This window comes from Homo sapiens, chromosome 13, assembly GCF_000001405.40.
Source record: "Homo sapiens chromosome 13, GRCh38.p14 Primary Assembly".
NCBI classification, from domain to species: domain Eukaryota; kingdom Metazoa; phylum Chordata; class Mammalia; order Primates; family Hominidae; genus Homo; species Homo sapiens.
Window position 1 is genome coordinate 96,655,013 of NC_000013.11, and position 16,617 is coordinate 96,671,629.

At 37.5% G+C, this 16,617-nt stretch overlaps 1 protein-coding gene across 1 annotated transcript in view, besides 1 other annotated feature; it reads left to right on the forward strand.

Moving 5' to 3' along the window:
- The window catches only part of HS6ST3 (heparan sulfate 6-O-sulfotransferase 3), a 749,456-nt gene that overhangs the window by 564,906 nt on the left and 167,933 nt on the right, over nt 1-16,617 (forward strand). The gene's annotated exons all lie outside the window — the stretch shown is intronic.
- Nucleotides 13,490-13,690: a silencer, noted in NCBI's record as "peak2102 fragment used in MPRA reporter construct". NCBI's record gives its function as "represses an SCP1 promoter by STARR-seq MPRAs in K562 erythroleukemia cells {active_cell/tissue: K562}" and the evidence as "EXISTENCE:reporter gene assay evidence [ECO:0000049][PMID:32103011]".

The window sequence follows — 16,617 nt, forward strand, 5'->3', positions numbered from 1 at the left end:
GGAACTTCTTGGCTGTCTTGGCTGGCTCACCAGTGATTTTCCTTATTTTTAAGCTGTTTATAAGTGAAGGAAAAAGATCACCTGAGCCCTTAGGGCATTGTTAAGTTTATATTTTCTCTCTGCCAATATCCGTCAAGGGAGAGCAAAATGAGCATCTTAGTTCCTTATTTTATGCTTTTCAGCTCAACCGAACTTCTCCATCTAACACACTCATGATGATAAGGACTAGAAAGACGGTGAACCCCTGACAGTCGCCTGCCAACTTTCCTTAAGGAGAGTAAATCAGGGGACATTTCTGATGTGTTAGAAATGTGCTTTCAGAGTCTAGTTCATTGGGGACTACCAAAGTGTTGGAAAGCAAAAGATTATTGCATATTTCCAGGAGGGGGATTGCAATAGAAAAATTATCATCCTTTTGAACTTTTACTCAAAACTTGTGAATGGAGTTGTCAAATGGAGGATTGCTGATTATCGTTTAAGTCTTTTCATTTGTATCTATCCTGAAATTGTCTTCTTGGAAGCCTATATAAAATAGCTAATTCTTCTATTTATAAGATTTTTTTGAAGCCTCTGATATATCTATAATGAGCCATCTCTAGGAAAAAAAATTCTGATTTTTTTTGATTGACAAAAGTCACTACTGTTTAGTGCTGAGGAAAAACGTACTGTGGATAAAGAATGAAACAAAGTCACCAAATTCCTACTGATCTTGTCCCTTCCATACTAACCAGATACATATTTTGTTCCTGGGAATTGGGTGATGTTGGCTGGGAAAGGAGAGATGGGTAACACTACTGCAGAGAGAAGAGCTTTCTCCTAATCTTATTTACTTGTCAATCTTCTATCAGGCTTCTCAGGGTTCCACTTCTTTCTGGAAGGAGATTGTGCATCTCAAGGACGAAGGCTGGGTGTAGTTCATGATAGTAAAATATGTCACTCATTTTCATTGTTATTATGATTACCACAATTATAATTCAGAATCTGTGCTTGACAAGAGGAAATTAGATGATGTATAAAACATACTAATTGATATAATCCCCTCAAGAGCTTCCAATTTAGACTAGTATTTCTGTGCCTTTGTTCATCACCTAAGAGAATTACAAAGATTTTCTTAGGGCTACCATTGAAGAAGCATTATTGAAGATAACTAATGTGGTATTTGTAAAATGCAAGCAAAATAAATTAGAACAATGAGTCTAGATTCCAAGTCTAAAGTTATATGCTGAATTGAGCAGAGGAGACCACTAAAGCAATTTAATAATTTGCTCTCCAATAATGCTGTCCATCCATGATTTCTCAGATGATTTACAAGTTATGTATCTTTACAAGATTCCAGTTATGTCACATACCCTTTTTTCCATTAAGGGAAGCCTCATTTTATTTCTGTCACAAATCAAAAGTTCAGATCTAGAAGTTATTAGATAGTAAACTCATGTTCCAAGAGATATGACAGAAATCCATTGTTGGAACTAATTCTGACCACATTTCAAACTTCTGCTCACTCTGAAAGTAGAATAAAGGCCAGGAAACAAAAGAGATGATGAAAACAAAATATGTTGATGTGGAAGAAATGTGTTTAGGGCCAAGGCTTTGGGCTCAAGGTCAGGGTCACTGTGAACTTTTCTGCCTCTGGACAATGTGCGGCTCTGAGCTCTTCTGTAGTAGAATGGAGGAAGGAGTCGCAAAAACGATGGCATAGGAATCCTGGTGGAATCCTTCAATGAATTGGCTATTCTGAGAAACCAAGGCTGATGCTCTTGAGCTCCAAGCTTTAGGCAAGTTCTAAACCTTACATTTCATAGCAAACTGACTGGATTGACGGAATTATATACAAAATAATCTTATGCTTGCTCTAAAGCCATGTTTGGAATGTGTCACGGCCAGATGCAGTTTGTCAAAACCTGAATGTGTTATGGCCAGATGGATTACTCTGGCTTTTCTTTTGTGTGTGTGTGTGTGTGTGTGTGTGTGTGTGTGTGTGTGTGTGAGAGAGAGAGAGAGAGAGAGAGAGAAAGAATGAGAATTTACATGTGCACATGTGTCTTACCCTGCCACACCTGGGATGTGCCTCAAATGGCAAAGCAGGAAATAATCAAAGGTAGAACCCAACCATCCCTAATATTTATTCAGCACCAACAGAGATGTATTCTTTCCTAATTTTTGTTTATTGCAAAGCAAAATTATCAAAATAATGAGGAGAAATTTTAAAAAGAAAAAAGATATTGTCTTACCAACCTAGAACTCATTCACTTTTACGATGCTTTAAGGCCAGGCACAGTGGCTCACACCTATAATCTCAGCACTTTAGGAGACTGCAGTGGGAAGATCACTTGAGCCCAAGAGTTTGAGACCAGCCTGGGCAATATAGGGAGGTGGCACATACCTATGGTCCTAGCTACTTGGGAGGCTGAAGTGGGAGGATCGCTTGAACCTGGGAGGTCAAAGATGCAGTGAGCTGAGATCATTTCACTACACTCCAGCCTGAGCAACAGAGCAAGATCTTGTCTCAAAACAAACAAATAAGCAGTTTAAGATCAGAACACAATGTCCTGTCAATTATTGTTTCAAATGAAAAGTTTTAGGTTTCAAATGCTTTGCTGTGAGTGATCATGGTCTACACATGCCATTGGTTGCTTTTTCAGAAGAGCTTTTGTAAAGAATCCTTGACGGTGGACATGCTAATACCAGAAATACTCAATGAGATCCTACGGAACCTTACATGGCAGCAGACATGGAGAAATAGATGAAGGGAGAGGGGATGGAAGATTCTGCAAAAACTTGTTTTATCCAGTGGAAATTCAGTGTTTGAAATTACCACCCAGGCAATGTGAAGAACAAGGCAGCACACCATAGCTAGTAGCTGAAGTCAGGCTTCAGTCCTCCCATAACAGTTATGAGACATTGATCCTGAGGAAGCACAATGAAACTGAAGCAACACTTGACTTGGCAGTTACATGTAAGTGTCACATCAAAATCTAGAACAATTCTGGCATTCCAGAAAGTTCTGTTGTACCTCTTCCCCATGGGGATGATTTTTGATTTCTGCCATCACTTGTTAATTTTGCCTATTCTTAACGTTGACATAAATGGAATCATATCATCTGAACTTTTGTGTGTCTGGATTCTCAACATAATGTCTGTGAGATTTATTCACATTGTTGCATGTATTATTAGCTTGTTGATTTTTTATTGCTATGTACTCTTCTGTTATATGCCACAATTTATCTTTCTTCTTCTTCTTCTTCTCTTCTTCTTCTTTTTTTTTTTTTTTTTTTTTTTTTTTTTTGAGATGGCGTCTCACTCTGTTACCCAAGCTGGAGTGCAATGGCACAATCTTGGCTCACTGCAACCTCTGCCTCCTGGGTTTAAGTGATTCTTCTGCCTCAGCCTCCCGAGTAGCTGGGACTACAGGCATGCACCTCCACGCCTGGCTAATTTTTTAATATTTTTAGTAGAGATGGGGTTTCACCATGTTGGTCAGGATGGTCTCGAACTCCTGATCTCAAATGATCTGCCTGCCTTGGCCTCCCAAAGTGCTGGGATTACAGGCATGAGCCACCATGCCTGGCCGTATCTTTCTTCTATTGATCATTATTTGGGTTGTTTCCAGTTTCTGGATGTTATGGATAAGGCTGTTATGAATGTTTTTGTATGGCGGTTATATGAACTCTTTTATTTATTTATTTATTTTATTTTTTATTTTTATTTTTGAGATGGAGTTTCACTTTTGTTGCCCAGGCTGGAGTGCAATGGCATGATCTTGGCTCACTGCAACCTCTGCCTCCCGGATTCAAGCAGTTCTCGTGCCTCAGCCTCCCAACTAGCTGGGATTACAGGCATGCACCACCACACCCAGCTAATTTTTTTGTATTTTTAGTAGAGATGGAGTTTCACCATATTGGTCTGGTTGGTATCGAACTCCTGACCTCAAGTAATCCACCGCCTCTGCCTCCCAAAGTGCTGGGATTACAGGCATGAACCTCTGTGCCTAGCCTGTATGAACTCTTTTACCTTGGCTTTATGCTTAGCAGTGTTGATTGCTGTATCATGGAGGAAAAATATATGTAGCTTAAGTAGAAAATGACAGTTTTCTGAAGTTGATGCAGCAGTTTATTCTTCCTTTAGCAAGATATGAATGGTCCAGTTACTCTGCATTATTGCCAACAAGTGGCATTGTCAGCTTTTTGGATTTAGCTATTCTATAGAGAATGTAGTGGTTTGGGGTGGTTATTTTAATTTGCGTTTCACTGGTGATTGATTACATTGATATTTGCTGATTTGTCCTTTGGATATTTTCTGTTGCAGAGTGTCTTCAAATCTTTTGTTCAATTTTAAAAATAGTTTCATTTGCCTTTTTCTTATTAGGTTATGGGAATTCTTGAGATAGCCCATATATAAGCTCTTTGTTAGACATATGTATTATGATTATTAATATCTTATCTCTGGATTATTTTTTCAATCTCTTCATGGTATATTTTAATAAATTACTTCTTAAATTTAAAATGTATAACTTTTCTTTATTGCATTTTTTTGCTGTATTAATGAAGAAATAGATTTCTGTCCTAAGGTATGAAGATATATGTTTTCTACTATAATAGTTTTTATTGTTTTTCTTCAAATTTTGATTCATCATCCATCTCACATTAATTTTTAAAATATAGTATGAAATAATGGGGCAATGTTCATTTTTTTGGTCTCATATAGCTATCTAATTGCTCCAGAACCATTTATGGAAAATAAATTCCTTTTCTACTGAATTTTAGTGGCACCTTTGTCACAAATCAACTGACTTCATGTGTGTACATCTATTTCTGGACTATCTCTTCTGTTGATACATAAACAGAAAAGTTTATATATTGGTTAAAAGTTACAAAAGATGTGTTTTGTAACTTTTTAGCACTTATTATATTAGGGTTATATTTTCATGACAATAAACATTCAACATAATGCCACTTTTAATTGATAGATGGGATTTGATTTATAGATGCACTAATATTTACTTAATCCTTTAAGGCTTGCAAACTCAATGATTAAATTTGTTTTTTTATTAAGTATACTGAATCATAATGCACCCTCATTTCAAACCAAAGCTGTAGGAATAACAAGACAATTAAATTTTTAATGAAGAAAGCCTCTATTTTGTAGTGTGAAATGCATTAATACAGTATCAGAAGAACTGAGTTTCTATCAAGATTCTACCACTTATTAACCATACAGAATAATTCTCAGCTATAATTTCAGTACAATAACACCTGCCTCCCAGGATTATTTTAAAAATAATACATACTAAAGGGCACAGGAGCATTTTGAAAATTGTAAATTATTATACAAAACATTTTCTGTTACAAATAAATAGTAGAAGTTTGACAAATGTAAAATCATATTAGCCAACATTTATTCATACACAATGAGGAAAGGATAGTCTTTTCAATAAATGGTGTTGGGAAAACTGCATATCCATGTGCAAAAGAATGGAATTTGACTCTTATCTTATACCATACATAAAAATCAACTCAAAATACATTAAGGACTTAAACTTAAGATCTAAATCTGTAAAACTCCTAAAAGAAAACACAGGGTGAAAGCTCTGTGGCATTGGACTTGGCAATGATTTTTGCTTATGAAACAATAACTATAATGTTAATAGAACTCAAAGAATTCTATTAATATCAAACAATAAGAACCTTAAGATAATAAATATTAGAAACCATGATGGTTAATATTAAGTGGCAACTTGATTGGATTGAAGGATGCAAAGTATTGTTTCTGGATGTATCTTGGTGTTTCTGGGAGTTTCCAGAAGAGACTGACATTTGAGTCAGTGGACTGGGAGAGGAAGACCCACCTTCAGGGAGACCCACCCACAAGGTGGCTGCCAGTGTGGCTAGAACAAGCAGGTAGAAGAAGTGGGAAGAAGGTGGAAGAAGCAGACTTGCTGAGTTTTCCAGCCTTCATCTTTCTTTTGTGTTGGGTACTTCCTGCCCTCGAACTCCAAGTTCTTCAGCTTCTGGGCTCGTGGACTTATACTAGTGGTTTTTCTGGGGCTCTTAGGCCTTTGGTCTTTGGTCACAGACTGAAGGCTGCACTGTTGGCTTCCCTACTTTTGAGGTTTCAGGACTTGAACTGAGCCACTACTGGCTTCCTTGCTCCTCAACTTGCAGATGGCCTATCATGGGATTTTGATTATCTGCCTCGAAGATCTACCTAATACTGTTGGCGGTGTGTTGAAGTCCCCCACCATTATTGTATTTTGGTCTATCTCCTTTCTTAGGTCTAGTAACATTGTTTTATGAATGTGGGTGCTCCAGTATTGGGTGCATGTATTTTGATGATTGTTACATCTTCTTGTTGAATTGAATCCTTTATTGTCTTTTTTTTAACAGTTATTGAGTTAAAGGTTGTCTTATCTGATGTAAGTGTAGCTACTCCTGCTTGCTTTTCTTTTTCCAACATTTTACTTTGAGTCTGTGAATGTCTTTACCCATTAGGTGGGTTTCTTGAAGGCAGTATATGGGTGAATCTCAGTTTTTTAATTTATTCTGCCAGTCTGCATCTTTTAAGTAGAGCATTAGTTCATTTATCTTCACGGTTAATATTGACATGTGAGGTTTTGTTTCTGTCATGATATTAATTGTTAGTTGCTTCATAGTCATAAATGTGTGTTTGCTTCATAAGACCTGTGAGATTTTTACTTTCACGTGTTTTTATGATGGTGAGTTTTGCCCATTCTTTCCCATGTTTAGAATGCCTATGGCATTCCTTGTGGGTCCGGTCTATTGGTGATGAATTCCCTTAGTGTTTGCTAGTCTGGGAAAGACTTTATTTATCTTTTATTTTTGAAGCTTAGTTTAGCAGGATACAAAATTCTTTTCTGGCAGTTCTTTTCTTTAGGAATATTGAAAATAGGATGCCAATTCCTTCTGACTTGTAAATTTTCTGCTAAGAAGTCTACTTTTATGACTGGTGGTATTTCCTTTATAGATAATTTGATGCTTCTCTCTTACTGATTTTAGGATTTTTTCCTTTACGTGGACTTTGAATAGCCTGTTAACTGTATGCCTTGGTGATGTGCATCTTGCAAACTATCTTTCAGGTGCTCTGAGTCTCTTGTGTCTGAATATCTACATCTCTAGCAAGCCTAGGGACATTTTCGTGAATTATTTCCTCAAATAGGCTTTCCAAACTTTTTCCTTTTTCTTCTTCTGTCTCAGGAATGCCCGTGACTCACTGGTTTCATCACTTTACATACTCTCAAATTTCTTGAAGCCTTTGTTCATTTTTTATGTAGTTCTATTTTTTTATTCAATTTCCTTCTGACTGGGTTAATTCAAAAGACCTGTCTTCAATCTTGAAATTTCTTCTGCTCCTTGGTCTAGTCTATTGTTGAAGCTTTAAAGTCTACTTTGTAACTTCTTCAGTGAATTTTTCCTTTCCAGAAGTTCTGTTTGATATTTTTTTAATCGATCTCTTCTTTCATATCATGTTTGTGTGTGTGTGTATGGGGTGTGTGTGTGTGTGTGTGTGTGTGTGTGTGTTGGTTTTCAGCTTTCTCTTGGATCTCATTGAACTTCCTTAAAATCTATATTTTGAATTTTTAATTTGTCATTTCAACATTCTCATTTCAGTTAGGATCCATTGCTAGAGTGCTAGTGTGATATAATGGGAATGTCACAACACTCAATCTTTTAATGGTGCCAGAGTTCTTTTGTTGGTTCTTTCTCATCTGGAGAAGCTATCATTTTTTAATTTTGAATTTTCTTTGCTTTGGATGGGATGTTTTCTTTCCTCTTGAGAGTGTGACTTTATATTGGTTAGGGTCTTTGCTCTTCTGTCAGCAAGTTTTGTGTTGGGTTGTGCAGTTCAACCTCCAGGCCAGTAGTTGGTGCTTATGGATAATAGCCAGCAATGGTAGAAGCAGATGGGTGTGTGCTTGATTTTTGTTTGTTGGGAGGTGCTCTCTGTTCTTTCAGGTAGTGGGCTGGTCTGTGGGATGCCTGCTGCCCTAAGTTCCCTGTTTAGCTGGGAGAGGGGACAAAACTGGGAAAAGCTGGACCGCTGTGCTCACCCACAAATACCCCAGTGATGAGTACAGGCACCAGCCCTGACAGGGGTGGCTGGGGGAGCTCCTGGTGAAATGAGCTGAGGCCACTGCAGAGGTCAAGGAGTCTGCACCAGCTTCATGCCCTGGACAGGTGGGGATGTGATCTGTTTCCTTATCACACCCCTGTCCCGGGGATCCTGACTCTCAGTTTAGACTGTTATTTATCTCCAGGCCACAATGTACCTGAGAGCTGTGCAAAACTTCTCTCCCACAGTTCTCCATGGGAAATTTGAGTAAGAATATTTTACCAAAGAAGTCATGCAACTGGCTAATAAGTGCATAATAAAGTACCAAACATCATGAGTCATTAGGGAATGCAAATTAAAGCCACAGTTAGGTGCCATTATATATCCATAAGAATGGCTAAAATCAAATAGATGGAAGACACAGAGTATAGGTAATAACATGGAGAAACTGAAACTATCATCCATTTTTAATGGGAATATGCAATGCTACATCTACTTTGGAAAACATTTTGGCAGTTTCCTAACAAGTTAAATATAACTGTACCACACAGCCCTGTTCCCACTTCTAGGAATTAACACAAGAGAATAGAAATATATGTTTGCACAAAGAATTGCATGTGGATTTTCACAGCAGTATTATTAATCTAATAGTCCAATTCAAACGTCCATCAATTTTAAAATGTGATATATCCATTTAATTAAATGCTCTTTGGCAATAAAAACAAGAAAATACTGATATATAATACAGAATGAGTGAACCACAAAACATTATCCTAAGTGAAAGAAGCCACACAAAATGAACAAATCTCTATATTGTATGATTCCATTTATATAAGATATCCATAAAAGGCATATTTATGGAGCTGGCAGATTAGTGGTTGCCTGGGCTTGGAGGTTGAAGCAAAATTGAGTGCAAACAGGTTTAAGGGAATTTTTTTTTGAGTACTGAAAATGGTCTAAAATTGCTTTGTGGGGATGGTTGCCAACTCTATAAATTTATTGAGAATCATGTAGTTCTACAAATGCAATAGGTAAATTTTGTGGTGTTATATAAAATTATACATTAATCAAGTTGTATAAAAAGGAAATCTCGGCTTTCTCATCTGTAAAGAAGGGATATATGCAACATAGTGTATGTGTGTATGTGCACCCATGCATGCTGTGTGTATGTAAGAAATAAGATAATTCATAGAAACAGCTTTGCACAGTGCTTGATAGTAACAGTGAGTCAATGTTTCAGTGTTTGTCATTGTTGCCATTATCATCATCATCGTCATCACTGTAATTTTTATATTGAGTTTAACCATATGTCATTTCATCACTCAGACCCCAGTTGCTGTGCTGTGCCATGCAGCAGAAAATACTATCCAAGCCAATATAGATCAAAAACACTGAAACTTCATAGTCTCTAACTTTAGCTGAATATTAATGCTTCCTGGGAGCCCTGTGTCTCTCATTTCTACCTTCTCCAATACTCTACACTCAGGTCTTCAAAACCCCATCTTCCTCCTCTCACTCACTCTGACATGTGAATTTCAACTCCTACTTTACAGAGAATGTAATATAGGTGAGGGGATCTCTTTTGAAAATAATTTCTGCATCTACAACTATCTTTCCATCTTCTTTCCTAAGACAGTATCAGAACTGTTTCTCTTCCTTTTCTTGGGCAGTTCTTACTTCCATGGCCTGATCAAGTTCTCTGACTTTCCCAGGGACTTTACCCCATCTCTTATAATAACTCTACTGTATCTTAAATTTGTCTATTTCTTCTTTTTCTTCTTTAGCATTCTCTCATTAATAAACAAAGGCAGGCTAAGCATGGTGGCTCATGCCTATAATTCCAGAACTTTGGGAGGCCAAGGCAGGAGGATTGCTTGAGTTCAAGAGTCCAAGACCAGCCCGGGCAACATGGTGAAACCGCGTCTCTACAAAAAATACAAAAATTTGCTGGGCATGGTGGTGTATGCCTATAGTCCCAACTACTCAGGAGGCTGAGCTGGGAGGATGGCTTGAGCCCGGGAGGTCAAGGCTGCAGTGAGCTGTGATCATGCCACTCACTCCAGCCTGGGCAATAGAGACCCTGTCTCAAAAAGATAAAATAAATAAATAAATAAACAAGGCCAAAAAGAAGCATTTGCCAACCCAAAGCTTCTTCATTCTTCATTTAGTCATTCATGCATTCATTGATGTATAAGATACATTTCAATTGAATGCCTACATTGTGCCACATACATAGCAATGGAGCTGGAGACATCATGGTGAGTAAGAGAGAAATGGCCCTTGTTCTCATGGTACTTACAGTCTAGTAGTGAAGGAGTACTAAAAATAGGAAAATAACTAACTCATTTTAATTATGCATAAGTATACCAAAGAAAAAATGTCAGAATGCTAAGAGAACATAAAATAGAAGCATTAGGGACAGCTCACTGAAAAAATTATATTTAAATAAATTTTGAAGGATGAATAGAGTTTAGAAGGCAGTTGGAGATTTAGGGTAGAAGAGTGGGAAAAGAATTTCTAGCACAGGGGCAAAAATGTACAAATTTCTTGAAGCTAAACCTATGAAAATAGCTTGGGTTTTGGAATAAACAGGCCTGATTTGAATCGCAGCTCTGCCACTGGCTTTGTGGCATGGTGTGATCATGAGCATTAAGTAATAGAACCCATCTGAAGATCCCAGAGTACAATGGACTCTTATTATCCTACAGGAATAGTTTAATACTTTAAGTCTTGTTATTACTCATGGTAGCTCTAGTTATTATTACCTCAAGTTTTAAAAGTGAAGTCAGAAACTCACAGGACTTGATTGGCCCAAGGACACAGACTAGTAAGTGTTGAGGCAGATTTTAAACTAAGCCTTTTTGAGTAAACTATGTTACCATGATACGAATACATAGTAGGTGCTTGTATTAGTCCATTCTCATGGTGCTAATAAAGACATACCCGAGACTGGGTAATTTATAAAGGAAAAAGGTTTAATTGACTCAGTTCAGCATGACTGGGGAAGCTCAAGAAACTTACAATCATGGAGGAAGGGAAAGCAAACATGTACTTCTTTACATGGTGACAGGAGGAGAAGTGCTGAGCAAAAGGAGAAAAAGCCCCTTATAAAACCATCAGATCTCATGAGAACTCACTCACTATCACAAGAACAACAGCATGGGGGTAAGCCCCACCATGATTCAATTACCTTCCACCAGGTCCCTCTGATGACATGGGGGGATTATAGGGACTACAATTCAAGGCGAGATTTGGGTGCAATCACGGACAAACCATATTAGTGCTCAATATTATTTTTCTTTTCTTCTATCCCTTTATTATTCTCTTCCCTTTGATCTGGTAAGTCTGTCATCAATTCATTAAAATGCATCACATTCATGCTGTTTTTCCTCGTATAACTTTCTTTTCAATATTATTAGATTAAGATTATTATACTATTATACTATAGTAGTATTATGGTTAATTTTTCAATGGCTGAAGATATTTTAATTTTCTCTTTACAATTGCTCTCACTTGATACTTCATTTAGCATATTACAGCAACACGTTGAACTTCGGCTTATTTCTAACATAAACGATATGAACCATAGAAGTATCATCATTTCCACCTCTAACAGGTTGTGAATGTACATTTCTAGATTTTCTGTGTGACCTCATTTTCAAAATTTTACTTCTTTATAAAATAGTTATATTTTATGCCTTCATGAAAATAACTAAATGAAAATAACTCATACAGGTATTGCACCTTGTTTTCAAGATATGCAATTTTTATATAGGAGAGTGAGTCTAGTTTAGTTACTATTTTATGTAACATTTTACATTAATACATTTTAATTGTATAATGTCATCCATGATGAACTATGCCAGTAAATTTGCCCATTTTTTATTATGTAGGATGTCATTTAGTCATGGAATCAAAAATATCTTTCTCATGCTAAGATACAGTCTTTCAAGCCAAGATAAACACCACACGTCCCACTTGTATTTCTTTTATTTATGATACTCATAAAATAGTATGACTACAGATTATACATGGAGTAATTTATATTTTGCTAATGCAAAATTCTATAAATCATATTGAATATGAATTAAAACTACATTTGTAAGGCAATATTAAAACAGAGAAATAGCAGTAAGTAGCAGACAACTTCAGGTAGATTTTCTATTCTCTTAATTTCTAAGTTGTAACGAAATCTTCTGAAAGGGTCAGTATCCAATTAAACTCTTGCATTAAACGTTGAATACAGAATCAGTTGCTTCTTTGCAGAAAATATGCCTTCTGGAAACTTCTATAATGCATGTCAAGTTATAGGATAAAAAAAGCCCATTTGTTATCCTAGTTCAGAAATAATTGCTTGCCATTAGGTTGGTGAGAACGTAAATTTTACTCATTTCTGTCAGCTAGCTTGTCACCTTCCTAAACTCCATCTCCATCTGCCCCTCCAGTGACAAGCTGAATATTATTTAGCCTTCCACCAGAACGATAATGACTCGTAAATGTAAATTTCACTGAAATCACACGTGGGGAAACATTTATTAACTTATTTTTTTAGAAATAGACAAATCTGATGGCTTGATTTTTGTTCAGCAATGTTACATATAAAAAATCTCCCCAAACCCATTTGCTATTCTTGTTAAAATGGTGTAAACATTATTGACTTTTTCCTTTTTTGCAAGAATTATACATGGACTTGGCTGTAAAGCCTTAGACATTACAGTGTCACAGAAGGGGTACTTACTATGCCTTCCTCTAGGATGGGGGAAAGGGGAGTGGAAAAAGCCACCTGCATGTGCCCTTGTGCCAGAATTCTTGTCTGTAAACCCAGAAGCCACATTTTAGCACTACAGTCTATGACTGGAGGGAAAATATTTAATAAAAATAGCTATTTCCAAAGCACCTACTGTTTTTGTTTTTCTCCCTCTAACATTCACCAAGTCCTTACTATCTGCCAAGCTCAGTTTTAAGTAATGTACAAGGGTTAAATCATTTTAATCTTCACAACAGCTCTTTGCAATAGATACTGTTATAATGCCCATTTTGCAGATGAAAAAACTGAGGCACAGAGAGGTCTCTCTCTCTCTCACACACGCATACACACACACACACACACGCACACACACACAGCTGGTGAAGAGTGAAGCCAGAATTTGAACCCTGGCAATCTGGTCTGGTGGAGCTACTGTCTTACAGGCAACATGTTGTAGCTTTTAATGGATTATCTTATTCAGTCATGAGAAAAACCTAAACAGGCAGGATGAGAAAACTGATGCTGAAAAAGGTTAGACAATATTCACGAGGACACACAACTAATGCAACTAATAAGTGGTAAAGTAATGCCTGTCTGATGCTAAAGCACATGCTCAAATGCTTCCTGACATAATAAGACCTGCTGGCTCACCTGCCCATACCCTGTGAGGCAGCTCCCTTCTGCTGAGGGACAAGGCAGGAAAACCTCACAGAGCTACTGTCGCTGCTACATTCTATCCCATTCCTGGCAAAATCTTATTGGAGACAGAAGAACTGGCCAGTGCATATTCACTGCTGTGTCACCCTGGTTCTGGGAAAAGAGGAAGATAAGAGAGGGAGCTGAGCACAGTAGTGCCAACCTTTTTTTTTTTTTTTTTTTTTTTTTTTTTTTTTTTTTTTTGTATCAGGTACATTTGTTGTTATGCACATTCAACCTATTCATCTAGATATTTCAAAAAAAAAAAGGCAACAGTTTTTCTATAAAGATAGGAAATCCTTGCACATTAGTCTTACATTTACCCTTGAGGATAAGAATTCTTGCTGATAAGAAGAGAGCTATAAAATATGGATACCATGTCTCAAGTATTTAAGGATAAAGCGATAAACATGCAGATGGAGCCATTAATGAACATTAATTGCTTTAAATTAGGTTTTATTGTGCAGTGGGTAAATTGGAAAGTACACATTTGCATTGGTAATAGAAAATTAATTTAAATGCTTCAGGAAGCAAAATATCACCTGATGTGCTAAAACCTGTTATTTGTGGTAGACCTAAAAGGAAACTTGAAGGGCACTGTGTATTCAAATAAAATAAAATAAACTAAGCTGGAGGCACACATATTTGTGAGAATCTTCTTAGGTATAAACCCTATATGGATATTGAGTTTGTCTAGGCCAAGAAAGGTCCAGATGGTGACTGGTTTAATGTTACATGTTTACTGCACTGTGTTGCCAGAGAGTGGTGGCACTGTAGTGCACTGTGCAACTGTAAATCTAGGAGTTAGATGGGCCCTCAGGAGGTAACTGGATCCTTCCTTCTCCCTCCAGGAAAGACATGTCTTGAAATCTTTCAGGACAGATTGTTGCCTACCCAAGTGTTCGAAGCACTTGGAGGGAAAATGCTGCACCTTCCTCAATGGCCCATTTTTCTAGCCGGAACCCATCTGAGCTCACATTGAGGAAGGCTTCCTTTAAGTCTCTTCAACAATGGCTTAAACTCATATCTTCTTATTTAATTTCTAAAGAGTTGGTAACCAGGGCATATGCATGGTTTGGTGGTTCTTCAACTTTCCTACTCCTGGATAGAAGTAAACTTTTTTCTTCTCTTTAGTACTTTTTTCTTTTCATTTGATCTTCTTACCATTGTTTTGCTCTGGATCCTGCTGTAGAACAGACAGTGTTTAAAATAGTAAAAATTCTCTAGTAAAAGAACTACGTAATAAAGACCCTCTGTTCTAAGGCTAAAGTGGTAGGAAATTGTCATTATAGTTGCTATATTGACTTAGTTGTGCAGCTGTTTCTTAAGACAGAGGAGAACATGAGTGGGTTTTGAGGAAGAAGAGGAAATTAAGGCTTAAGTAGCCTAAAATACACTGGTGTGGAGTTCAGGAGACAAATAGGGGCTAGAAATTTAAATTTGAGGACCACCAGTTTTTAGATTATTTTTAAAGCCATGAAATTGGATGAGATGACCTAAGGAGTAAATGTAAAAAAGTGAAGTTAATATAAAAAGTGCCTCAGGGCACTTTGACATTTAGAAGTCTGAAAAGAGGGACAACTCAGTAAAGAAGACTAAGAAGGAGCAAGGTCAGAGATAAAAAAGAAAAATTAGAAGCATGTGGCATCCTGGAAACCAAATAAAGAAAATGTTTTCAGAAGATGGGAGTGGCTAGCTGTGTTTAATGCTGCTTAGAGGTTGAGGTTGAGTGAGAGGAGGTTCTCACTGGCCTTGGCAAAAGCATTTTTAGTAGGTAATAGGGACAAAAGTCTGTTTGAGGTAGATTCAAGAGAGAATGGCAGATGAAAAGCAGGGCTAGTGAATATAGACATCTTTTTTGGGAGTTTAATGTAAAGAGGAACAGAGAACAGGGTGAGAGCAGAGGGGATCGTGAGATCAAGAGTAATTTTTTTTAAAGGCATGAGATCTTATAGCAAGAATGTATACTAGCGGGAATAATTCAATAGAAAGGAGAAATGGTGATGCTGGAGAGAAAGGAGGTTCCAGGGAGAGGATGGAATACAAACCACAAGAGTGGTATTGATCCTAGATTCATCCAGGGAGAGTTCATCTATGGTTATTGGTTGGAAGTCAGGTTGTATGAGTACAGATGAAGGTAAGCCTAGAGATTTAATCAAATAAAATATTGAACTGTTCTTTTTATATTTTTGAATTAAATTTTGATTTCCTGGAATGAAATATTTTCTTATACTTTAAGACAAAACATTGGCCCTTGGAAGAGGACCTGTCCTACCAAATGGACAATGACTGGCCAACAGAGATGGAAAATGTTTTGCATCTGTGCAGCCAGAGGTCCTGCAAGTGCTTTCTGCTGGGCAGACACAGCTGTGCTTCTTGGGGGCCTACTGCTGATATTCCCCTCTGGCTGCTCCTTGACCATGTCTCTGATACCTGGGATTAGGTCTCCAGTGCAACCAATGGCAGGCTATGAATTTTAGTAGCTTTAGGGATAGGCTTTACTTTACTGAACACTTAGGGGTAATGAAAGTACACCACTGGAGAGTAACTTACAAATATGACTAGAAGGGACCCCCTCAGCCTAAACCTGACCTCAAGAGAATTTTTGCTACAGCAGCTGCCTACCTGCTTCCACACAGGTTGGAGCCAGCTAGTTCTCCTCATTGTTAGGAATGCTCCAAGTGTCATCAGAGCTTTGTGTACAGGCTTGGATGCCTTTACCCCACCCTCCCAAATTCTTTTGAACCCAAATCAGAAGGAAGTCTCTTCTCCCTTACATATTTCAAAGATGGCTCATTTCCTACACCAGTATTTACCCTCTTCCCAGTGTGATTGAGAGTGGCAATTCCCTTCAACTGAAGTTATGCCCAACTAACTACAAAGATGTATCCTGGATCCATGTCCAGGATTGACCTATGGTAGGACAGTTACCATAAATCAGTTGCCAAGTATATTCATGTGCTAGGGCTACTGTAACGAAGCACCACAGACTGGGTGACTTAAATAACAGACATGTATTTTTCTCACAGCTTTGGAGGCTAGAAACTCAAGATCAGGGTGTTAGCAAGGTTGGTTCCTTCTGAGGGCTGGGAGGAGGATCTGTTCCA